The 26,903-nt window shown below is 41.9% G+C and overlaps 1 long non-coding RNA gene across 1 annotated transcript; it reads left to right on the forward strand.

Moving 5' to 3' along the window:
* The first annotated feature begins 4,989 nt into the window (after window positions 1-4,989).
* Window positions 4,990-26,651, forward strand: LOC105378847 (uncharacterized). Its single transcript, XR_001738142.2, has 3 exons — window positions 4,990-7,130; window positions 10,483-10,621; window positions 23,510-26,651. It is a non-coding gene; the product is annotated as an uncharacterized LOC105378847 (long non-coding RNA).
* The last annotated feature ends 252 nt before the right edge of the window (window positions 26,652-26,903 follow it).

Below are 26,903 nucleotides of genomic sequence, written 5' to 3' on the forward strand. Positions count from 1 at the left end.
GGGACTGGCGGCATTGAAGAGGAATGAGGAGCAAATAAGAATGAGTATGGAGTTTCTTTGCAGAGTAATGAAAATATTATAAAATATAATAATGAGTATGGAGTCTCTTAGGGTAATGAAAATATTCTAAAATTGATTGTTACGATGGTTGCATAACTGTGAATACACTAAAATCTATTGATTTGTACATTGTAAATGGGTAAACTTTATTTTAATACAATTACAGGATAGAGTATACAAATACAGTGATTTGTACACTGTAATGGGTGAACTATATCTCAATACCTCAATAAAGCTAGTTTTCTTTTTTTTTTTTTGCACTAGAAGAAGGAGACATCAGTATGTTAAGAATGTAGATAGCTCTTGTTATTTTGAGATACATCCCATCAATACCTAATTTATTCAGAGTTTTTAGCATGAAGTGTTGTTGAATTTTGTCAAAGGCCTTTTCTGCATCTATTGAGATAATCATGTCGTTTTTGTCTTTGGTTCTGTTTATATGCTGGATTACATTTATTGATTTGCGTATATTGAACCGGCCTTGCATCCCAGGGATGAAGCCCACTTGATCATGGTGGATAAGCTTTTTGATGTGCTGCTGGCATTACCATTCAGGACACAGGCATGGGCAAGGACTTCATGTCTAAAACACCAAAAGCAATGGCAACAAAAGCCAAAACTGACAAATGGGATCTGATTAAACTAAAGAGCTTCTGCACAGCAAAAGAAACTACCATCAGAGTGAACAGGCAACCTACAAAATGGGAGAAAATTTTCGCAACCTACTCATCTGACAAAGGGCTAATATCCAGAATCTACAATGAACTCAAACAAATTTACAAGAAAAAAAACAAACAACCCCATCAAAAAGTGGGTGAAGGACATGAACAGACACTTCTCAAAAGAAGACATTTATGCAGCCAAAAAACACATGAAAAAATGCTCACCATCACTGGCCATCAGAGAAATGCAAATCAAAACCACAATGAGATATCATCTCACACCAGTTAGAATGGCAATCGTTAAAAAGTCAGGAAACAACAGGTGCTGGAGAGGATGTGGAGAAATAGGAACACTTTTACACTGTTGGTGGGACTGTAAACAAGTTCAACCATTGTGGAAGTCAGTGTGGCGATTCCTCAGGGATCTAGAACTAGAAATACCATTTGACCCAGCCATCCCATTACTGGGTATATACCCAAAGGACTATAAATCATGCTGCTATAAAGACACATGCACACGTATGTTTATTGCGGCACTATTCACAATAGCAAAGACTTGGAACCAAGCCAAATGTCCAACAATGATAGACTGGATTAAGAAAATGTGGCACATATACACCATGGAATACTATGCAGCCATAAAAAATGATGAGTTCATGTCCTTTGTAGGGACATGGATGAAATTGGAAATCATCATTCTCAGTAATCTATTGCAAGGACAAAAAACCAAACACCGCCTGTTCTCACTCATAGGTGGGAATTGAACAATGAGAACACATGGACACAGGAAGGGGAACATCACACTCTGGGGACTGTTGTGGGGTGGGGGGAGGAGGGAGGGATAGCATTAGGAGATATACCTAATGCTAAATGATGAGTTAATGGGTGCAGCACACCAGCATGGCACATGTATACATATGTAACTAACCTGCACATTGTGCACCTGTACCCTAAAACTTAAAGTATAATTAAAAAAAAAAAAAGAATGTAGAGTAATTTTCCTGGTTAAGATATATCATATGGTCAGTATGTTTCAGATTAATGAATCAACATGAAATGAAAAAATGTCTAGTGGGTATGCCAAGGATTTCCATTCATGGTCTTGGACGTTCTACCTTTTAATTAATGTCCCAGAGAAGTCCATTGCTCTCCCAGATCCACTCTCTACCCTGCTCTCTGTAGGGAGGCTGGCTTATACAAACCATGCCAATAGGCTCCTGTGGCTTACAGCTGGGTCTGGCCACAGGGAGTTCCAGCAGGAGACGCAATGGATAGAGGACATCCCCTCCCTGCAGTCCAGCCTATGACTCCCTCATTATGAGAGACAAGAAGGCTGCTTTGCCTTGATCCTCACTCTTCTTGTCAGCTTCTCTGAAGTTACTAGCCCTGGACAACCCCTTGTGGTTTCCCGGCACTCCGGTCAGTTTCCTGTTGGAACACTAACCAAAACACTGCCAGTGCATAAGTGACATAAAGCAGGATCCAAAGGACCTGGACTGAGAACAACAGGATGAATCTGACAAGAGGGTATTTAATGAAAAGTATAGATGAAGATGTGGTTACTACACTATTTGAAGCTTTGATTATTGACCGTGAATCAAGAGTTCGGACGATGCACTGCCTCCAAAATAAAATTCTAACTTTATACTGTTCCAAATAGAAAAGTGTTTGCATTCTCTTCCTGTGGTTAGACCACTCTTAGAGTACTGTGTTCAGCTATAAATAACACATGAAAAAGTTATCTGTGTCAAATTACTGTAGATTTTAATGCATCCATTTTACTTCCAGCCCCATCTCTTGGGTACTCAAACATGAGCAAATGGGGGCTATGAAATCAGATAATTTGATAGGTAGACATGGAGCTATTTTAAAAATTGCCTTTCCCTTCCAATTCTTGAGACACTGTTTTTGAACCAAATTGTCACTTCCATTAGAGTAAATTATTTCCCAAGGGACTTCTAGAATCTTTATACACATAGACTTAGTGACTCACCCCACAGTCTTGAAATAAACCCAAACCTATGCACACATTTTAGACTGAAGCCTGATGCACATGAAAGAACTATCCAATAAATAGATTACATCAGAAATTGTCTTATAGGCCTAGTTTTAAGTGTATGGCAAAATTCAAGTTGAGATCAAATAAACAATATCCGAATGTTCATGCTAGAAGTGCCTTTAATATCATTTAATACAAGTCTCTGGTTTTGTAAGTAGGAAGAATGAGGCTGTCTTGCTTAAATTCACGAAGCTAACTGGTGGTAGAACCTAGACAAAAATCTCAGTTTTTTTGCATCTATTCACTGTGCTACATTGCCTCCCTAATAAAATCACACTTCTAAACACCAATTTGGAGGGAACTTGGCAAGTCTTACTATTTTCTCAATGTTTGTTGGCTATCTACAGTGTGATGACACTACCACATTTCCAAGACATTTATATACCTTATTTGAAGCTGAAAAACAGTATTTGTAATGTTTAACTGAGAGATTTTTAAAAAGTTTTCTTGATTTTTCTTACCTATTCATTGCAAAAACATTTATTGAGAAGCTATTATGTGCTAGGCAATGTCCAAAGTACTAAGCAGTGAACAAAGATTAAAAAAAAAAAATCCTTGGCCAGGCATGGTGGCTCACGACTGTAATCCCAGCATTCTGGGAGACCAAGGTGGGTGGATCACGAGGTCAGGAGCTCGAGACCAACCTGGTCAACATAGTGAAACCCCATCTCTACTAAACTACAAAGAAATTAGCTGGGCGTGGTGGCGGGCACCTGTAATCCCAGCTATTTGGGAGGCTGAGGCAAGGAGAATTGCCTGAACCTGGGAGGCGGAGGTTGCAGTGAGCTGAGATCACACCACTGCACTCCAGCCTCGGCAACAGTGTAAGACTGTCTCGAAAAAAAAAAAAAAAATCCTTGCCTTCATAGAACTTACCTTGTAATTCTTATGTTTATATTTGGGGTAGACTTCAAGGGAATTGAGAGAATTCTTGCCCTACTTTTGTGATAGCCAGCATCTAAGATGGCCTCCAGTGATCCTTGCCTCCTGGTGACCACATCCCTGTATAATGCCCTCCCATGCTGCCCATGCATTCTGCATAAGCAACAGAATACTGTAGAAGTGACAGTATGTGACTTTGAGTTTTAGTCTTAAAAAGCACTGCAGCTGTCTTTGCTGTTCTTGCATCACTTCCTTGGGGAAAAGGACCCTCAAACAGCCCTACAGAAGCCACAAGCTGGGAGGAACTGGGATCTCCTGTTAGCAGTCAGCACTCTCCAGCATGTGCATGAGTTGTCCTCCAGCCTCTGTCAAGCCTTCAGATGACCGCAGCCCTAGCTAACATCTTGACTGCAGCCTCATGAGAGACTCCAAGCGAAAACTATCAGCTAGGTTGTTTCAAAATTCCTGAACCTCAGCGACTGTGAGAAATAGTAATGTCCATCATTCTTTTTCTTTCTTTTCTTTTTCTTTTTCTTTTTTTTTTTTTGAGACAGAGTCTCGCTCTGTCACCCAGGCTGGAGTGCAGTGGTGAGATCTCAGCTCACTGTAGCCTCTGCCTCCCGTTTCAAGTGATTCTCCTGTCTCGGCCTCCTGAGTAGCTGGGATTACAGGCACAGACCACCACACCCAGCTAATTTATGTATTTTTAGTAGAGACAGGGTTTTACCATGTTGGCCAGACTGGTCTCGAACTCCTGACCTCAAGTGATCCGCCCACCTTGGCCTCCCAAAGTGTTGGGATTACAACCGTGAGCCACCACGCCCAGCTGTCCATCATTCTTTTACACTACTGAGATTTAGGGTAATTTGTTATGTGGCAGTAGATAATTGACATACCCCATGAGTTTTAGGAAGGTTCCCTACAGAAGAACCATCTGAGAAGCACCTCAATATTAAAAATGGAAAAGGAAGCAACATTTTCCAGCACTTATGAGTTACAAGAAAAGAGAATCAACTCAGTGGAAAATATACATAAAGACCTTGGACGTTCCAAACCCATCATTTCTAATCAAGAGTTCTGTTTTTGGTGCCATCAGAAATTTGGGGCTTTAAAATGTGAGTAGGAAAAGTATAATGGTGGCAGGCGCCTGTAGTTCCAGCTACTCGGGAGGCTGAGGCAGGAGAATGGTGTGAACCCGGGAGGCGGAGCTTGCAGTGAGCCGAGATGGCACCACTGCACTCCAGCCTGGGCGACAGAGTGAGACTCGGTCTCAAAAAAAAAAAAAAAAAAAAAAAAAGTGATACACTTTTATTACATTGGAGAGAGGAAGAGACCCACAGGTGAGGAAAAGACAATCTTCCCAACTCTAATAAAGAAAGCTACTGAAATTAACCTAGGGTGGTTAAATTCAGCAGTGGGCCATGGCAACGGAAAACATTGCAAAAAGTACAACAACTCAGCAGGACTATTTGCCAATAATTTATTTTCATCAAGAAAAGAAAAACATATCCTTGGTAACCTGCCAATTCTCAACAAGCTAATTCACGTCAAGTCTTTCTCTGGGAAAAGAGATAATTAAATCTTTTGAAATCTTTGCTCCCTAACTACAGTGGTCATTAGGGCTGTTCACAAACATTCTTGTTCTCTTTCCTTCCTGACATATGGTGGATCGTAATTTCCCCCATACTTGGAGGCACTGCCATGTGACTTGGCCAATGAAATGTATGTGGAAGCTGTAAAAGTCAAGATGCTTCACCATCTTATCTTTTTGTTGTCATGGCAACCAGCAATATTCCTATAGTGGTCGCTCTGTCAGCCCCAGGTCTGGAGTAAGGATGACAATGGTGTGGAATAAAGCTTCTAGCAGACAATGATAGAGAGTATAATGAATAAGAACTATATCTTCAAGTTTAAGTCATGGAAATTTTGAATTTACTTGTAACTGCAGTGTAGCCCAGCCTAGCCTGGCTGAAATACTGATAAATAACAGAAGTTCATGTTCAACAGTCCTGTTTCTTCAGATGCTGGATTAGCAGCTGTTGGGCTCAGAAAAGGCTACTCCAAAATATGGTGCTTTGACATGCTGAATGGAGGAAGCAGCCTCAAAATTCTCTCTGACCTCCCTGCACCCCGTCTCTTAATCCTCCATCTCTCCCAAAGCACAGGATGAAATTGTTATCTAAAGTTCCCGTATCTGCCTACAGTCCAGATCTGCCAAGGGAAAAAACAAATCCCTCTCATCCCTTCCCTGAGTTTTAATTAACTAAACTCATATCACAGGAAGAAAGACAAATCTGTTGGCCAGGCGCGGTGGCTCACGCCTGTAATTCCAGCACTTTGGGAGGCCGAGGCAGGTGGATCATGAGGTCAGGAGTTCAAGACCAGCCTGGCCAAGATGGTGAAACCCTGTCTCTACTAAAATAAAAATGCAAAAAAGTTAGCCGGGCGTGGTGGTGGGCGCTTGTAATCCTGGCTACTCAGGGCTACTCAGGAGGCTGTGGCAGAGAATTGCTTGAACCCGTGAGGTGGAGGTTGCAGTGAGCCGAGATCACGCCACTGCACTCTCCAGCCTGGGCGACAGAGTGAGACCCAGTCTCAAAAAAAAAAAAAAAAAAAAAAAAAAAAAAAGGACAAGTCTGTCAACAAACCTGGACAGCCTTTTGTCCCAAAACATTGTCTGCTTTGTGAGCCCAACAGGCTTTGTCTCAGGCCATTATATGTTCTTGGAGCCCATTAAATTCCCCTAAAAATCATTTACTAACCCCCTTACATCACTCATACTTCCCCATCTCCCTTTCTTCTAAGAAGAAAGGCATAAAAACATCTAGACCCCAATTCACGGAGAAAGAGGGGATAATATCTGGGATTTTCCTCCATGCACTTTAATAAATTTATATGCTTTCCTCCTATTAATCTGCCTTTTGTCAGCTGATTTTCAGCAAACCTTTAGGGGGCAAAAGGGAAGTTTTCCTTTGGCTGCTACACAGCTCTGAACTGATGAGGAAGAGCTACTGCGTGTAAGAGTCTGGCTACGAGCCAGGTGCCTTCCATCCTACATCTCAGTTCAATTCCACAATAAAATGGAAAGGCAGGTATTACTGAACTCATTTTACCTATAAAGAACCTGAGAAGCGAAGTGACTTGCCCCAGCTCATTGGCAAGCAGCAGAGCTAAGACAGGAAGCCAGGTTTTCCGAGTATAAAACCCAAGCAGAGTCACTATGCTGTACTGAGACCTCCTATTACTGATTATGAACCAAGGTAATTTTATCCTACTTGATAACTCAGATGTCACCTCCTCCTGAATTAGTCACTTTTATATGCTCCTCTTGTCTCTCTTCTTTTCTATTTTCTCCAAGAACTGAGCTGTGGGACGCTTACCCTCATGATATTCCCTTACTTTGAGATAACTGCGATTCTCTCACTTAATGGCAAGGAAAAAAATACTTGGAATGTGGCCCCTGAAAGGTAATGTTAAACATTTTATATACATTGCAATCTTGTTTAGTCTTTATACAAACTCATAACAGAAGTATTATAGATCTATTTTAAAAGTGGGGAAACTGAAAGAAGAAAAAACTGAGAAACTGAAGCCGTGGCAGGTTATATAAATTGTCTAAGGCAGAGGCCGGGCGTGGTGGCTCACACCTGTAATCCCAACAGTTTAGGAGGTCGAGGCGGGCAGATCGCCTGAGGTCGGGAGTTTGAGACCAGCCTAACCAACATGGAGAAACCCCATCTCTACTAAAAATATAAAATCAGCTGGGTGTGGTGGTGCATGCCTGTAAAGTCCCAGCTACTTGGGAGGCTGAGGCAGGAGAATCGCTTGAACTCGGAAGGCGGAGGTTGTGGTGAGCCGAGATGGTGCCATTGCACTCCAGCCTGGGCAACAAGAGCAAAACTCTGTCTAAAAAAAAAATTGTCTAAGGTTGGGTGAAGTTCAAGCCTCTATCCACCTGAATCCAAACTCCTTCCCCTTTACAGTTTCTCTTCCCACAGTAATATTTGCTGTGTCTCAATTCTTTTTTTTTTGGTTGGGGGTGGGAGACAGGGTCTCACTCTGTTGCCCAGGCTGGAGTGCAGTGATGTGTTCACAGTTCACAGCAGCCTTGAATTTCTGGGCTTAAACTATGCTCCCACCTCAGTTTCCAGAGTAGCTAGGACTACAGGTCCCAGCTAATTATTTTAATTTTTTACTTTTTGTAGAGATGGGGCCTTGCTTTTTTGCCCAGGCTGGTCTCGAACTCCTGGCATCAAATAATTCTCCTGCTTCAGCTTCCCGAAATGCTGGGATTACAGGTGTGAGCCACTGCATCCATGCCTGGCCCTGCTTTCAGTTCCATTAGCACTTGGAATTCCCTCACCTCTATGATGGCACTCAAAGAAATGGATCTAAACTATGGCATTTGGACATTCTTGAGCGGGCTCTACTAGCATTTAATGAACTGAGACCATGGAGGAGAGACATGCTGCCATAGTGAGACAGCCCATACAACAAAGAATTTTCTGTCATCATATGGGATCTTCTAATGTCCCAACAGATAAAGGTTCTTGTACATGGAAAACCTGTTTATATTTCCAAGCCTAAGGTCTAATTCCATTTTATATACAAATATGAACCATTTAGGAATGCAATCACCAGCTAAACAAAGGGAAGATTGTACTGTGTTTTGTTTGGACTTTTCAAAAAATGATCACCACTTCAGAAAATATATCACCTATTGCAATACTGCTCATGGTATTTGACTCACTATAATGCCACACGTGTATCAGTCTGCAATTGTAGCTGTCAGGTGCAAATACGTACCGTAGAAGCTTTGACACATCTTTCAATAGACTTAGAATTGATCTGTGCCGCATAACCTCCATGTAACTCCTAATTTCTTTTCTTTTCTTTTTTTTTTTTTTTTTTGGGATGGAGCTTTGCTCTTGTTGCCCAGGCTGGAGTGCAATGGCACGATCTCGGCTCATCGCAACCTCCACCTCCCAGGTTTAAGTGATTCTCCTGCCTCCGCCTCCTGAGTAGCTGGGATTACAGGCATGTGCCACCATGCCTGGCTGATTTTGTATTTTTAGTAGAGACAGGGCTTCTCCATGTTGGTCAGGCTGGTCTCGAACTCCCGACCTCAGGTGATCTGCCTGCTTTGGCCTCCCAAAGTGCTGTGATTACAGGCATGAGCCACCGTGACTGGCCACTATTTCTTTACACAGTTTATTATCAAGTTCCTGTTGTCCATCCAAGAGCATGGTCCCCAAGGTCATTTTAAGTACTGGTGCCTAACTTGATGCCACAAAGCACAGAGGGATTTCAAGAAAAGAGACACTACTCTGTCCCATGAAGTAGCATATATCTGTACATATAGAGAGACCCTATGTTTATGACAAGACACAACTCAGCTGTGGATATCAGAGTCCTCATGTTTTCAACTTTGACATTGTAATTTGTTTTGCATGTTATCCCTATTCCAATTAAATTGACACTTTTTCCATTCTCACATGAATAAATTTAAATTTCTCTAAACTATATTTTATTCTAGTGTAGCCCACATCCTTGTTCTTTCATTTTCTTATTTCTTGTATAGATATGCTTATTTATATCCTAACATTCATTATAAGAAAGTGTAAGCAGGCTGGGCGCGGTGGCTCACACCTATAATCCCAGCACTTTGGGAGGCTGAGGCGGGCGGATCTCCTGAGGTCAGGAGTTCAAGACCAGCCTGACTAACATGGTGAAACCCCATCTCTACTAAAATTATAAAAATTAGCCGAGTGTGGTGGCATGCACCTGTAATCCCAGCTACTCAGGAGGCTGAGGCAGGAGAATCACTTGAACCCGGAAGGCAGAAGTTGCAGTGAGCCAACATCACGCCATTGCACTCCAGCCTGGGCGACAGAGCAAGACTCTGTCTAAAAAAAAAAAAAAAGTATAAGCAACTGACTACTTCAATGTGTCTTCTCATGTAACCTGGCCCAAGCAAAGTCTTCTAATACATGATAATTTATTTTTAATTACTCTCCTTTTATTGTTCTTTTTTATTATTATTATGGTTAAGGCTTAGTGCTGAAAATCTCTGTCCCAGAAAAATCCCTTAGTCCAAGGAAAACCAGGATTGTTGGTCACTCTAGATAGTGCTGGGTTTTTTCCTGAAATTATATGAGTAGGTAGGCTTTATTTTATTTTTATTATTTTTTTTTGAGACAGATTCCAATCCCTGCTCTGACTTAATTATTCTGTGTCTAAGCTTCTCTTACTGTAAAACGAGGATGATGTTAACGCATCTGTCTCACTGAGTTAATGTAAAGAATACAATGGACTAATGTCACTAATTCTTTGCACAACACACAGTAGATGTCTAAAATATTTTATTTATCATTCTTCCCAGGCCTACCCAGCTCTACCCTTCCCAGTAGTAACTCGTGAATCAAAATGATTCATTTCTCATTCCTTGACCTCCTCTCTCACCTGGGCCGCTGGTTTCTTATGGCTTATAGGAAAGCATTCCACTCAATGAAGCAATTCATATTGAGGTGTGAGTTGCTAATAGACCACCCTCTTAGCAGGCTGTAGGTATTTTAAAACTTATTACCCTCCACCAGAAGATTATGTATGAGATATTTTTTGAATTGAAGAGAGAATAGGAGTATATTTTCCAATGCCCCCTGTTATGGGCTACATTGTGACACCCCCAAATTTATATGTTGAAGCCCCAAACCCCAGTACCTTAGGAATTATTTGAAGATAGAGTCTTTAAAGAGACAAGGCTAAAGGAGGTCATTGGGGTAGGCCCTAATCCAAAATGTCTTGTGTCCTTATCAAAAGAGATTAGGACGCAGACACACACAGAGGGAAGACCATGTAAAGACAGAGAGAAGATGGCCATCTATAAGCCAAGAAGAGAGGCCCCAGAAGAAATGAACGCTGCTAATACCTTGATCCAGGGCTTCTTGCCTCCAGAATGGTGAGAAAATAGATTTCTGTTGTTTAAGCTACCCAGTCTGTGGTACTTGGTTATGACAGCCCTAGAAAATGAAAATGGTCCCTTATTTTTGTCACATACCTTTTGTAGATTAAAGCTTCTGGGACCAGATTCCAGATTAGTTCTCTGAATTCTCTGTTCTGCTTTTTCATTCCATGGCAAACCCCAGAACTTCAGTCTGTGGGTTCACCATGGGGAACATGCATGGCATTTAATCATCATGGTACTTATGGTGGTGGTTATGATTGATTGCAGATTGGGAATCCGAGTGTCAGGGAGGTTATATATCTTGTCTAAAGCAATCATTTATTCAACAAGTATTTATTGAACATCTATACGATATTTATATAGCAGGCACTATGAGAGATGCTGGAGTCACATCAAACTGACTTTGCCCTGCCCTCATAGAGCTAAAGGATTAGTAAGAAAAACAGATTTTAAATAAGTAATTATGTAATTATAATAAGTATCTGTGAATGTGATGACTTATGAAGGAGCATAACATTTTAGTAGGAGAGCCAAATCAGCTTAGCTCCACCCAAAACAAATTTAGTGAGCACCTATTATATGCCAAACATTGTGCTAAGTGTTTGAGAAATATCAGGGAACATGACAGATATGGACTCTTCCCTCATAGAACTTCCATGTCTAAAAGGAAAAGAAGACATCAAACAAGGCGTACAAATGAAAGAGAGATGTTACAAGGCTTAACTTCAAGATTATGTGTGAGCATTTGGCAAAGGCATATAATTTAGCATAAGAAGTCCAGGTAGGCCTCCTGGAAGAATCACTGTGCATACTGTGACCTGAAGAATCAGGTAGCTGTGAGCCTGACAGAGGTGTTGGAAGCCTTCTTCAGTGAGGTCATCTCCTGTTTAGACAGTGCTTTCCTCCCTGTACATTTTCTCTGAAGGCATCTTTGCTCTGCCTGCCCATAAACATGTTACTCAGCTAGAATACTGAACACTAACCAGAGAGCTATTTCAGTACTGTCTTGTCTAGAATGGGACTTTACCTTTTAGGGCATAAGCCTGAGAGCTTCCCACCTCAGAGGGTGACTTTAGATTGCTTCCTCTCCCTTACTATTCTGTTTGTGGCAGACGCTGGGGGTTGGCTTATCCAAAACCTTTTTCCTTATTGCCCTCTACTATAGAAGCCAGAAAGCCAGAATATTTATCTCCTGACTTAAATGTTGTGAGAGGCTACTAAGTCTGTCAATCTTAGGTGTTTTTGTTTGTTTTTCCCTTTTGTTTTTATTTGCAAAATATGCCCCCAATTGATTCATTCATTGTCCTACCTCTCTGGTAACAACAACAACAAAAAAAACCAGAGGCTTGAACCACTATACCTAAGCTTTGAAAGAATCCAGATACTTTCTTAATTCTGTTTCATGTCAGGATATTCCTGGTTGGAAAGCTCTTGGCATTACAACAAATTCAAGCTGAATCATATTTGTTTAGACTATTATATTCAGGATTGCAGAGCCAGCTGCCTTTTGAAGTGCTTTGATTTAGATACCTGGGGCCCTCATATTTAATGCTTCTTGTTAAAACAGGTAAAAGTATTTGGGAATATGGCCCCTCCCAAAAGTTTGAACACAATAAAAAATGATGCAGATTATCTTTTAAAAAGTATAGATAGCCAAGCATGGTGGCTCACATTTGTAATCCCAGCACTTTGAAAGGCTGAGGCAGGCTGATCACCAGGAGTTTGAGACCAGCCTGGGCAACATAGCGAAACATCATCTCTACAAAGAATACAAAGATTAGCTAGGCATGGTAGTGCACACCTGTAGTCCCAGCTACCCCGGGGCAGGCTGCGGTGGGAGGATCTATTGAGTCCAGGAGGTTGAGGCTGAAGTGAGCTGAGATCACGCCACTGCACTCCAGCCGGGATGAAAGAGTGAGACCCTGTCTCCAAAAAGAAAAAAAGTATAGCTAAAGGAAAAATGGAAAAGGGAAAAATGAAGAGAGGAAAAAAAGGCAAAGGTATGAAAACTAGTTCTAGGTGGTGAGTCAGATTATACTTCCTTTTATAATATCTAGGTGAGTGGAAAATACAGCCTCCTGGATAAAGTCTTTGCTTGAGATAGAAAATTCCTTCAAATTACTCCTTTCTTCCAACTATTGTATCTTTTAGTCACAGAGAGGTGTTTAGAAAACAGATTTTGTAAGGCCATCACATTGTTCTGCAGTATAATTTAAAAAATAGTGTCTCTTTTTTTCCTTTTTAATTTTTATTTTTTGAGACAAGGTCTCACTCTGTCACCCAGACAGTGTCATGGTCATGGCTCAGTGTAGTTTCAACCTCCTGCTCAAACAATCCTCCTGCCTTAGCCTCCTGAGCAGCTAGGACTACAGGCACGTGCCACCACACCTGGCTAGTTTTTAAATTTTTTGTAGAGAGGAGGATCTTGCTGTGTTCCTCAGGCTAGTCTCCAACTCCTGGGCACAAGCCATCTTCCTGCCTCAGCCTCCTAATGTGGTGGGATTGCAAATGTATGACACCATGCCCAGCCAAAACTATTCTCTTACTGAAACAAACCTACCTTTTTATTCGTAAGAATCTTTCCCCTTGGAACACAGTATCAGAGTTTGTCAATCAAAACTACATTGTTTACCTTATCATAGAATAAATTGTTTGATTCAAAAATTTTGATTTTTGTAAAGTTGATCTTTGAAGAGCCAGATTAACCACCTGGATTGAGTAATGTGTCCTGTGTGTTGCCTACCTCACCAGTTGAATTGGAGAGACCACAATGAGCTGAATTTCTTGGTTTGGCCAGAGCCTTTCTTTGTGGGTAGAGAGGAAATGAGAGCAGCAGAAAATCTGGAGATAGGATCAGCCACCTCCCCTAGTGAGATCTGAGAGACTCCCTTGCCCCATATCTCTTCCTGTTGGATAGTTGACAGGGGCCACTGCTTTGGAATAAGTCAGCGAAGATCACTACCAGGTAGAGAATGGAAAGCCTCCTTTGGTTTTAAGGAGGAGAGAAACACTGAGGCACTCCAGGAAAGGGAGTGTTTATCATAGATACACAAACTGGAACCAGAAAACTGTTCGGGGATTGAGGGAGCTCTAGGGACTGGCTGTTTCCTTTATCTTTCTCATAGCCAGGATCATCTCCCTCTTGTTATCTTTCTGCTTTTTTCCTATGAAGTGTCTGCTCTGTCTTCCCTCTTTATCAAGAGGCCAATCCCGGCCGGGCGCGGTGGCCTGTAATCTCAGCACTTTGGGCGGATCGTGAGGTCAAGAGATGGAGACCATCCTGAACAACATGGTGAAACCCCATCTCTACTAAAAAAAAAATACAAAAATTAGCCGGGTGTGGGGGTGCACACCTGTAGTCCCAGCTACTCAGGAGGCTGAAGCAGGAGAATCGCTTGAACCCGGGAGGCAGAGGTTGCAGTGAGCTGAGAATGTGCCACTGCACTCCAGCCTTGCGACAGAGTGAGACTTCATCTCAACAAAAAAAAAAAAAGAAAAAAAAAAGAAAAAAAAAGAGGCCAATCCCTCAATCCAAATGCCTGAGAGAGCAAGTCCAGTTGCCTTTGTTCCGTGAGGCTACCCTTTGGGTAGAGCTCTTTGCCCAAGGCATCTTCATGAGTCATTAACCAACTGATGGAAAGGCTGCCTCAGGCCAGGTGTCTACCTCTGGTCCACTTAGGGTCCCTTGTGCGTAGACACCAGCCTAAGGTAACTTCCTGATCCTGGGGATTATGGATGTGGCAGTTTATACTAAAAGCAACTGTTGGATGACAGTGCCTAGGATCTGCATTTAGTCTGAGTCCCAATGCGATCACATGCCTAATTTGTTTGACCAGTCAGCGCTCAGATTTCTTCCTCTGTAAATAGGGGATAATAATGAAACCAACTTCACAAAGTTGTAGTGAGGCTCCAACAGGGTAATATATTAGTGAAAGGGCTTTGTAAACTATTAAATATTATACGAATGATATTATTATCAAAAAGAGATAACCTCTTAAGCCATTTTGACCCCTTTGGGTTCTCAGGCTAGTCATTCATCTTAAAAAGGAACATGGCAGGGAACAAATGGGGAGTGTCAGGGGGCCGGGAATCTCTTGTTACCCTCTGTTAAGGGATGTCCAAGGACAGCTAGCTGGGAGTCTTGGGCCTCAGGGCATCACAAGGCTCTGGGTTCTTGATGTGTATATGTATAAAATGAGGGGGAATAGAGGACCCCTTTTCTCCTTGCCTCTAGTGACACATCCCTTTTCATTGATAACCCCTCCAAATTTCTTTAAAGAGAAAAGGAGACGAGAAGTAAGAAAATGAAAGTTGAAAAGAGAGAGGTGATGGTGACTAGGCAGAAGTAATAAGATACTGGGTGTGAGTTCCCTAGAAGGGCTGGGCAGTTCAGCTCACAGAACTGAATTGCTGGGGAATTTTGGCTCACAACTAAACATCCTGCAGCTGCCAGTAAATGGCAACCCCTTTGTATGAAATGTGGCCCTGACCTTGGGCAGAGCTCCATCTGAGCACCCCTGGACCCCCTGACTCACTGCTGAAGTAGCTAAATGAGGGTGGAGCACTGGACGGAGTACAGTGGCTTTGTAATTAAGTTTACCAAGTCCCTCATTGCACAAGGGGAAAGATGGAAAAGAGGTTGGAGAGATACTTCTTTAATAAGATCCCTGTCCCAAATCTGAAACCTAGGTCCTGTTTGAGTAGGCTCAAGTTGCTCATATCTAGGCTGTCATGTAAAAATGATCTGTGTGCTCCAGAAATTTATAATTTATTCATAAAAACACATTTTCAAAAACATACTGCAAACTGGAATGTTTTGGTGCAGCACAGACTAGCTATTAAATTCCGATGGCCTAGATGGGCCTCTGCAGAGCCATGTGGTGTGAGAAGATTAAATAGGGAGGAAGAAAAGTAGAAGCAAACTTTTGATATGTTCCTTTGAGAAGAGTATAGGAAGGTCAAGCAAGGGGAGATAGGGAAGTGAAGAAGTCGATGAATCATTCTCCTCTATATTTGGCTAATTTCCTCATTGGCATTGGCAGATATGACTTCCAAGTTCCGGGGTCCTGACTTTCTTTTTCCAGGGTTTTTCATTCTCTGTTAATTAGGACATTGGAAGAATTGTCATGATAATTATAATGTCTAGACTAGGGGAACTACAGGAGGCAATAAGAGAATATTTAATTGCAGAGCTGAGAAGACACATGAAGATGACATGATTGTGTAAGTCTCTCCTTAGAACAATGCCACACGGAGCTGTGTTTCACAGGTGCTCTGACATTGCCTCTTATGTAAGGGGACTCTTTGGTGTTTTCTCTGAGCATTTAGGGTTTTCAAAATTCCCATTTCCTCCAGAAGATACTAAGGATCTGCAGAAAAAGCAGGGCTGCAGTACTCTGATGTTTATCAGCTTTACCCTCAGAGTCTGTCATTGTAAAGGTAGGGATGGATGCTCTCAGAGTTTCTTGCCCAGACTAAAAGACACCTGCTGATTCCTTTGGAGAGGTAGGAAAAATGATCAGGCAGGGAAATCTCTTACCTTGCCAAGTTTGGTCATCATATTTCCTCTCCCGCAATTCAATTGTATGCTTTTTCCAGTTGGTTAGTAGAAGTATGGCGCAGAATGTTTTCCTTTCCAACACATAGTAAATCCTTGCTTATTGGTATCCAATTAACTAGGAGAAGACAAAATGATTGGTATTTATAAGGATGCCTGGAATGTGCCAGGCCATCTCCAATTACCTTTTATTTTCTCCAAATGGAATTATCACTGTTGTTTGTGCTGATGATGGATATAAAACTAGCTTATTATAAAAATTCAACATTGAAAACTGGGGTGGTGAAAAATCCCTTTGCAAATGTTTCACCTCATAGCTGACCTTCCAGTTAACCACTCTATAGATTAGACCCCTTGGAAATTTTCATGCACATAAATACACACATGTATATATAATGTAGACTATATGCAAATGAGTTCATACACATCCTGTGAGTAAGCTGCCTTTTCACTTTATATGTTATGAACATACATTTCAAACATATACCTCAACCTTTTCAGTGGTTACACTTTTTTTTTTTTTTTTTTTTTTTTGAGACAGGGTCTCACTCTGTCACCCAGGCTGGAGTGCAGTGGCATGATTATGGCTCACTGCAGCCTCAACCTCCTGGGCTCAAGTGATTCTCCTGCCTCAGCTTCCTGAGTAGCTGGGACTATAGGCACATGCCACCATGCCTGCTAATTTATTTTTTGTAGAGATGGGGTCTTGCTATGTTGTCCAGGCTGGTCTTGAACTCTTGACCTCAAGTGATCCTCTCACCATGGCTTCCCAAAGTGCTGGGATTACAGGTGTGATCCACTCTCTGCCTAGTATAGATTCTTCTAGTTGATTTTACTAAGCATCTGATAATGAATATTTCGTTTGCTTTCCATTTTTGCTACTGTAATCAATTCTTCAATGACATCGCAGTTCTCTGATTCTTTTTTTGTTGTATTTGTTGTTGTTGTGTTTTTTTTTTTTTGAGATGGAGTTTCACTCTTGTTGCCCAAGCTGGAGTGCAATGGCGTGATCTCGGCTCATGGCAACCTCCGCCTCCTGGGTTCAAGTGATTCTCGTGCCTCAGCCTCCTGAGTAGGTGGGATTACAGGCTCACGCCACCACGCCCAGCTAATATTTTGTATTTTTAGTAGAGTCGGGGTTTCACCATGTTGGCCAGGCTGGTCTGGAATTCCTGACCCCGTGATCGGCCTGCCTCGGCCTCCCGAAGTGCTGGGATTACAGGTGGGAGCCACTGCGCCCAGCCCTCTGATTCTTTTTTAAAAGATAACTATTATTGCTTCACAGTTCTCTGATTTTTTTTTTTAAAAAAAGCTAACTATTGGCCTGGTGCGGTGGCTCACGCCTGTCATCCCAGCACTTTGGGAGGCTGAGGCGGGTGGATCACCTGAGGTCGGGAGTTCGAGACCAGCCTGACCCACATGAAGAAACCCCGTCTCTACTAAAAATACAAAATTAGCTGGGCGTGGTGGCGCATGCCTGTAATCCCAGCTACTCGGGAGGCTGAGGCAGGAGAATCGCTTGAACCCGGGAGGCGGCGGTTGCGGTGAGCCGAGATCACGCCATTGCACTCCAGCCTGGGTGACAAGAGCAAAACTCCACCCCCGCCCCCCCACCAAAAAAGAAAAAAGGTAACTATTATTGCTTTTTAGAAAGTTAACTTTGTTGAAATATAGCTTATGTACAATAAACTGAAACCATGAACAGCTGTAGTTTGATGAGTTTTGACAAATGTATGCACTCATTTAACCTCTACTGCAGTCAAACTATAGAAAATTTCCATCACCTTAAAAAGTTCCCTCGTTCCCCTTTACAGTCAACATCACACCCATCCTCAGCCCCACGTAGCTGTTGCTCCACTTTGTGTTACTATAGGCTAGTTTACATTTTTGAGAATTTCATGTAAGAAAAATTATATAGTATGTGCTTTTTTGAGTTTGGCTTCTCTCACTCAGCTTAATGTTTTTCAGATTTGTCCATGCAGTTGCTTTTATCAATAGTTTTTTTTTTTTTTTTTTTTTTGACAAGGTCTCACTTTGTCACCCAGGCTGTAGTGCAGTGGCTCAACCTCCTGAACTCAAGCAATCATCTCACCTCAGCCTCCCGAGTAGTTGGGACTACAAGCTCGCCCATTAGGCCCAGCTAATTTTTTTGTTTTTTGTATCTTTTGTAGAGACTGGGTTTTACTATGTTGCCTGGGCTGGTCACGAACTCTTGAGCTCAAGCAATTGGCCTGCCTTAACCTACCAAAGTGCTGGGATTACCGGTGTGAACCACCGTGTAGGTCCGGTTCATTTCTTTTGAATGCTGCATAGTATTATCTTGTACAGATGAATCACTATTTATTTATCCATTCACTCATTGATGGATATGTATATTGTTTCCATTTTGGTAACATATAAAGTTGCTATGAACATTTGTGCAGAAGTCTTTATGTAGACATATGTGTTAATTTGTCTTCCCTATGAACTTTATAAGAAACTGACAAATTGTTTTCCAATGTGGTCGTACCATTTACATTCCTATCAGCAGTGTGTTAGAGTTCCAGCTATTATATATTTCTAGTTTTAGTCATTCTATTGGATGGATGGTAATATATGATTGTGGCTTTAGTTTGCATATCAATGATGACTAATGATGTTGAGTGTCTCTTCAAGAGCTTTTGACCATTGGTATGTCTTATTTTATGATGTATCTGTTCAAATATGTTGCCATTTAAAAACAGTAGGTTGTTGTCATCTTATTACTGAGTAGTAAGGGTTCTTTTTTGTCTTTTATATTTTCTTTTAATATTTGACTTTTATTAGTATGATTTTCTTTATTTTATTTATTTATTTATTTTTGAGACGGAGTTTCACTCTTTCGCCCAGGCTGGAGTGAAGTGGCACGATTTCGGCTCACGGCAACCTCTGCCCCTGGGTTCAAGCGATTCTCCTGCCTCAGCCCCCTGAGTAGCTGGGATTATAGGTGCACACCACCACGCCTGGTTAATTTTTGTATTTTTAGCAGAGACAGGGTTTCACCATGTTGGCCAGGCTGGTCTCGAACTCCTGACCTCAGGTGATCCACCAGCCTTGGCCTCCCAAACTGCTAGGATTACAGCTGTGAGCTACTGCGCCCGGCCCATATGATTTTCGTTTATAGTTTTTCTCCAGGTGGAAAGAGGTCTTTATATAATCTAGATACAAGTACCTTGTCAAATGAGTGCATTGCAAATGTTTTTCTCAATCTGTGGCTTGCCTCTTAATTTTCTTAACAATGTTTTCCAAAGAGCAACGTTTTCAATTTTAATAAGGTCCATGAATTATTTTTGGAAACATCTAAAAAAAAAAGAGAGAGAGCATGATAGGTTAAATTAGGTCAGTCTAGTTTTAATACTGAACTCATACAAAATTTCAATTCCTTGAAAATTGTCAACTATGTATTAATTAAAGTGTTGGATCAATCAAAACATGCCTTTTTCTTATTGCCTTTGATAACATAATTTGCTGTATTTATGTGTCCTCATGTAGTGACTCTGAAATTTAAATGCTATCTTAAACCTTTTTTTGTTTGTTTTAAGATGGAGTCTCACACTATTGCCTGGGCTGGAGTGCAGTGGTGCTATCTTGGCTCAGTGCAACCTCCGCCTCCCAGGTTCAAGCATTTCTCCTTGCCTCAGCCTCCCAAGTAGCTGGGATTACAGGTGCCTGCCACCATGCCCGACTAATTTTTTTGTATTTTTAGTAGAGATGGGGTTTCACTATGTTGGCCAGGCTGGTCTTGAACTCCTGACCTCATGATCCGCCCACCTTGGCCTCCCAAAGTGCTGGGATTACAGGCGTGAACCTCCAATATTAGCCTCTCAACGTGCTAAGATTACACCCAGCCTCCAATATTTTTTTAATGCCAATGTTTTATGCTATTAATAGATGTATAATAACCAGATAGTTCATCTTAACCACATTTTTTATTTTTAAATAGTTTTTATGTGGATATCTCATTATCCTTATCTAGGCATTCATTGATTTTGAGGGCAAACTATTTTGAGATTTTTAAAATATTTCATTTTAGCCTCAATAAGAATTTTCTCAATGTAGAGACTGGAGTTTTAAATTCATATTTGCCAATATTCTCAAGTAAAAAATTAGAAGATTCTAGTATTGAACCATTTAGTTCACTGGCGATGTACAGCTCCCAAAACAAAAATCTGGGAGGATGGAGAGAAGCTGCTAAGGGAGACGAGGTGTGTCCCTCATAAATAAGAAATTTTGCTAAGTCACAGCTGTCCTTCGTTTTCAGATAAATTAATAAGAATCAATGGAAGCTCTCAGTGCAGCACAGGGTTGCCTCCTAGGAAGGGGTGTATTTTCAACACGGGATCCAAAGAAATGGTTTATAGCACATTAGTGCCTTGGTTTTTGAAGGTTGAATACGGCTTTGTTATTCGACTCTCCAGTTACATCCTCTAGAGGATACAATCACTGTTGCCCTGGGGGAATAATATCTGAGTAGAGTTACAGAAGGCAATTGTAGGATATGGAGGAGGAAGGACTTCTCCCTCATTACTTTATGCTTTAACAATTAAATAAACAGTCAAGTGTACTGTTAGCATTTTTCTTTCTCTTCTCCAGTTTCTGGAAGCAAAAAACAACAAAGAATTAAAAAGTACAGGAAAAAATTCATTTTGCTTAATATATATGGTGTTTTTTTCTTTTTTTTTTTTTTGACGGAGTCTCACTCTGTCTCCCGGGCTGGAGTGCAGTGGCGCAATCTCAGCTCACTGCAACCTCAGCCTCCCAGGTTCAAGCAATTCTCCTGCCTCAGCCTCCCGAGTAGCTGGACTACAGGCGCCACGCCTGGCTAATTTTTTTTGTATTTTACTCACCATGTTGCCCAGGCTGGCCTCAAATTCCTGAGCTCAGGCAATCCACCCGCCTCAGCCTCCCAAAGTGATAGGATTACAGGCGTGAGCCACCGCACCTGGCCCCTTTTGCCTAATACTAATTTACTGAACTAAACATCATACACTTATGACCTTCCTTTTTTCAGTAATTCATATCAGCATGAATATTTAGGAATAAGAAAACTTTGAGGAGAAAGATTTATTATGTAAATATGAACATCTGCTATCCACCCAATGAGAGATATTTAATTCTAAAGCCAGGGCATATATTTTGTCAAAACAAGTAGAGCCAGGCCTGCTGTCTGTATCAGCCCCACCTAGGCAGGTTTGGGATAAGGGAGGGAGTGAAGAGGGAAGGCAAGTCCCCAGAGTTCTCTTATCTCAGCCACAGCAAATAGATCCCTGGAAAAAGCAGGAGACACTTTCCCGGCGAGTACTCTTAGCCTCCCACCGTACGTACCCCGCCCTCTCTCTAGGCCTCTTTTCAGAATTTCTGAAAAGGATATGGTCAGAGAGGAGAAGACCGGAGAGAAACAAGTGGGAAACAGCGATTCCAGGTTCAGGATGGGGTGTGTGTCAGAAAACTCCTCTGGCCACCCTTGTTTTTTTTTTTTTTTTTTTTGAGACCGAATCTCGCTCTGTGGCCCAGGCTGGAGTGCAGTGGCGCGATCTCGGCTCACTGCAAGCAATTCTCTGCCTCAGCCTCCAGAGTAGCTGGGATTACAGGCACGTGCCACCATGCCCGGCTAATTTTTTTTGTATTTTTGGTAGAGACGGGGTTTCATCATCTTGGCCAGGCTGGTGACCCACCCGCCTCGGCCTCCCAAAGTGCTGGGATTATAGGCGTGAGCCACCGTGCCCGGCTACCCTAGTTTGTTTTCTAGTGGTAATGCTTTCACTTATTTTATTAGCTGAATGACCTTGGACAAGTACCTTCAACCTTTCTGTTAAAATAACTCATTTTCCTACCATCATGTGCTCTTTAAAAACAAGTAAGAGAATTGTATTGATCAGAATAACTTGCTTCTAGAAATACCTGGGGCAGGAAGGTCACTAATTGATGGAAAGTACTATTTCTTTTTCCTTGAGTACTAGAACTAGCCCAGTATAACACTGCATACACTGTTCCTTTCTTTGAGTCAGATCTCAGCTAGTATACTCTAGTAAGTATTGATGAAATTGTATGAAAGGTGAAGTAAGTTTCTCTTTTGAGACAGGAGAGTGAACCTATATGCACTCACCTTCCCCCATGACCTCACTGAAATAAAAGTAAATAAGCACAGGGGAAAAAAAAAACCAAAACAAACAAACAAACAAAACATGTAGTAGGGAGAGGTAGAAAGCAATAAACTGGAAATTTCAACAAATCCTAAAATAAAGTGAAAGGGGAGGGTTAATGGTTAAAATGGGTAGAAAATGCCACGGGCTAGAATACACAAGATAAAATGACAATTGGAAACTTGAGAGAAACAAAATTCTGAACAATAAAGTCACAGACCACACATGAAGCAAACTACAACTGGACAGGAAAATAAGCAGTTAACAGAGTGTACGAAAAGGCAATTCATTTGACCTTCATGCTAGAAATAGCCTCATTTGAGAGACCCAGGGGTTATAACATTAAGTCCATGGAAAAGAAAATATCCTAGCACATTAACATTAAACAATGTTTATATTATTCATAATTGAGTATGTGCAGTATATTGGATTCTTTTTTTCTTTTTCTTTTGGAGACAGAGTCTCTCTCTGTCACCCAGGTTGGAGTGCAGTGGCACAATCTTGGCTCATGGCAATCTCCACCTCCCAGGTTCAAGGATTCTCTTGCCTCAGCCTTCCAAGTAGCTGGGACTACAAGCACACAGCACCATGCGCAGCTAATTTTTTGTATTTTTAGTAGAGGCAGGGTTTCACCATGTTGCCCAGGCTGATCTCAAACTCCTGAGCACAGGCAGTTGCCCACCTCAGCCTCCCAAAGTGCTAGGATTACAGGAGTGAGCCACCGTGCCCAGCCTGTTTCTATTTTTTAAAAAACATTTTAAATAACTTTATTTTTTAGGACTGTTTTAAATTTACAGAAAAATTGCAAAATAGTACAGAGAGTTGCTATATACCCTGCAGTCAGTTTCCCGTATTAACATCTTACATTAGTATAGTCCAGTTGTTACAATTAATGAATGAGTACTGATGTTATTAATAACTGAAGTTCATAACTTATGCAGTTTTTTTTATTTTCTCCCTCATGTCTTTCTTCTAGAATCTCATCGCATCCAGGTTATCACATTTCATTTCGTTGCCGCGTCTTCTTAGGCTCCTCTAGGCTATAGCAGTTTCTCAGGCTTTTCTTGTTTTCGATGATTTTGAATTTTGAGGAGTACTAATTACGGTTTTGTAGACTGTCTCTCACTTGGGATTTTTTTATTTTTATTTTTTTCTCATTATTAGACTGGGGTGATTGGTTTCGTGAAGAGGACCGCAAAGGTAAGGTGCCATTTTTATCACATGAAGTCAAGAGCACATTCATACTATGTATAGATAGTACATACTATCAGTATGACTGTTGACCCTGACTTCAATCACCTGATTGAGCTAGAGTTTACCAGGTTTCTCCAATGTATGATCACTTGTCCTCTCCCCCTTTCCTTATTATACTTTTGTGTCCGGAATTGGTGGGTTCTTGGTCTCACTGACTTCAAGAATCAAGCTGCGGACCCTCACGGTGAGTGTTACAGCTCTTGAGGTGGTGCGTCTGGAGTTTGTTCCTTCTGATGTTAGGATGTGTTCGGAGTTTCTTCCTTCTGGTGGGTTCGTGGTCTCGCTGGCTCAGGAGTGAAGCTGCAGACCTTCGCGGTGAGTGTGACAGCTCATAAAGGCAGTGTGGACCCAAAGAGGGAGCAGCAGCTGGATTTATTGCAAAGAGTGAAAGAACAAAGAGTCCACAGTGTGGAAGGCAACCCCAGCGGGTTGCCACTGCTGGCTCGGGCAGCCTGCTTTTATTCTCTTATCTGGCCCCACCCACATCCTGCTGATTGGTCCATTTTACAGAGAGCGGAGTGGTCTGTTTTGACAGGGTGCTGATTGGTGCGTTTACAATCCCTGAGCTAGACACAAAGGTTCTCCACGTCCCCACTAGATTAGCTAGATACAGAGTGTGGACAAAAAGGTTCTCCAAGTCCCCACCAGAGTAGCTAGATACAGAGTGTGGATTGGTGCATTCACAAACCCTGAGCTAGACACAGGGTGCTGATTGGTGTGTTTACAAACCTTGAGCTAGATACAGAGTGCTGATTGGTGTATTTACAATCCCTTAGCTAGACATAAAGGTTCTCCAAGTCCCCACCAGAGTCAGGAGCCTAGCTGGCTTCACCCAGTGGATCCTGCAGTGGGGGGCTGCAGGTGGAGCTGCCTGCCCGTCCCGCAACGTGCGCCCGCACTCCTCAGCCCTTGGGTGGTTGATGGGACTGGGTGCCATAGAGCAGGGGGCTGCGCTCCTCGGGGAGGCTCGGTCCGCACAGGAGCCCACGGAGCTTGGGGAGGCTCAGGCATGGCGGGCTGCAGGTCCCAAGCCCTGCCTGGTGGGAAGGCAGCTAAGGCCCTGCGAGAAATTGAGCACAGCAGCTGCTGGCCCAGGTGCTAAGCCCCTCACTGCCCGGGCCGGTGGGTCCGGCTGGCGGCTCCGAGTGCGGGGTCCGCCTAGCCCACGCCCACCCGGAACTCGCGCTGGCCCGCAAGCACCACGCGCAGCCCTGGTTCCCGCCCGCGCCTCTCCCTCCACACCTCCCTGCAAGCTGAGGGAGCCGGCTCCGGCCTTGGCCAGCCCAGAAAGGGGCTCCCACAGTGCAGCAGCGGGCTGAAGGGCTCCTCAAGTGCCGCCAAAGTGGGAGCCCAGGCAGAGGAGGCGCAGAGAGCAAGCGATGGCTGTGAGGACTGCCAGCACGCTGTCACCTCTCACTTTTTGGAAGGAATTATGTAGATTTTTAACTTCTAAAGTCAACCTATAAAAAAAGTAGAAAATAGTTTTTTATGATGGCAGTACACAATACAAATATTAACCATTTTGTTAGTTGTAAAGTATAGCTGACAAAAATGTAAGAGAGAAGAAAAGTGCAGGAATGGGAAGGGGAGCCACTACATTTTATAGAACAGAAAGCCAGAGATATGCTATTAAAAATCAATAGAAATTTGAGTACTTATTTAAAAATATAAAAGTTTAGTTCCAAAAGAGGAAATAAAATATATGATTACTGTTTTAAACATTGGGAAGAGGAGGGTAATATGAGACGTGCTCATTTTTATACTGTGAAATTAACGCTATTGATTAAAGTTGGTAAACCAAGAAGAGCAATATAGAGTGCAATGGAAGTAAACACCAAGTGATCTCATACCAGATGAAACAAGGAAGTTTTTCTCTGCAGAAGAACTGGAGCTGAGCAAGAAGGGGAGGGAGGAAAGGCTATTGCTTTTCAATGGAAATTATTTTATACAATGTGATTTATTACCACATGCACAAATTATTTGCTTTAAACAAGAGATGATGTATAGGGTAGTACCAGGACTCCTACTGGACAACCTGGTATGACCCTTTTTTTGGGTAGCACCCAGCTTCAGTTATACAAGCAAACCAGCGAACTGCAAAACCTTCATCCATACAAACCACATTACAACGTGGTGTTTTGTTGGAACCTCACTTGTGAGATAGTCAAAGGAGCAACCCTCTTAGGTCTTTGATTTGTAGGAAAGGCATTAAAAAAAGAACTTCCTTTGTTTCCCTGGGATTAAAGATTAGGAAGATTTCAGTTGCAAAAAAAAAAAAAAAAAAAAAAGAAATTGGCTGAAAGAGGTGTCCAATTGTCTCTGGTTGCAAAGTATTGGCAATCAGTGGAAATCCTCTGTGTGTTTCCTGTGTTTAGCATTTATATAACATGTTTCAAGTTTAAAAGCCCTTTACTGTCATTAGCTAATTATCTCCCAAGGGCTGCAGGGTAGTTAGAGGAAATGTTGGAATCAAGCCAGTTTTTAGAGCTGTAAGTTGTATACACACATACAACTGTGGCAGCCCTGATTCAGGGTGTAGTTGTTACACCATTTCCCACACATAGATCAATCAGTTAGTGTGTGGTTATTCAATCTCTGAAGTTCTTTTTCTAGACTTGACATTTTCTTCTCAAGAGGTACAAGTTACTGAAACAGAAGAGCACTTATTCTAATAGCACCTCTCCTAAGTGTCTTGAAAATAAACATTGTTGATAGTTTTAGGTTCATCATCAAATCAGAATCCCTGAAGTGAGGCCTGAGTTTGGCGATGGAGATGTGCCCTGGGTGATTCCAATGAAGAGCCACTATCAAGAACCACGGACTTAAATGGCCAATAGAGGTTCCCCACACCCACCATCAATAACTATATCTCCAAAAAGAATGAAACACAATATGTGGCTACAGAGAACTTTTCATAAACGCTACCCATTAATAAATATTAAATCTTGTTTTGTGCCAAATATATATTTTACATTATCAAAGTGCTCAAGAAATTTGGAGGATACAGAAAAATAAAAATGCATGTATATCTAAAAAGTCATCACAAAGAGAATCACTGTTCATGTTTCTTCTTTCCATTTTATTTCAATGCTTTGTCTTTTCTTTTTCTTTTCTTTTCTTTCTTTTTTTTTTTTTTGAGACAGGGTCTCACTCTGTTATCCAGGCTGGAGTGCAGCTGCGCATTCACAGTTCACTACAACCTCGAGCTCACAGACTCAAGCGATCCTCCCGCCTTAGCTTCCCAAGTAGGATAGCTGGGCACACACCATCATGCCAGGTTTGCTTTGTCTTTTAAGAAAATTTA

Source organism: Homo sapiens, chromosome 1, assembly GCF_000001405.40.
Source record: "Homo sapiens chromosome 1, GRCh38.p14 Primary Assembly".
Classification (NCBI taxonomy): domain Eukaryota; kingdom Metazoa; phylum Chordata; class Mammalia; order Primates; family Hominidae; genus Homo; species Homo sapiens.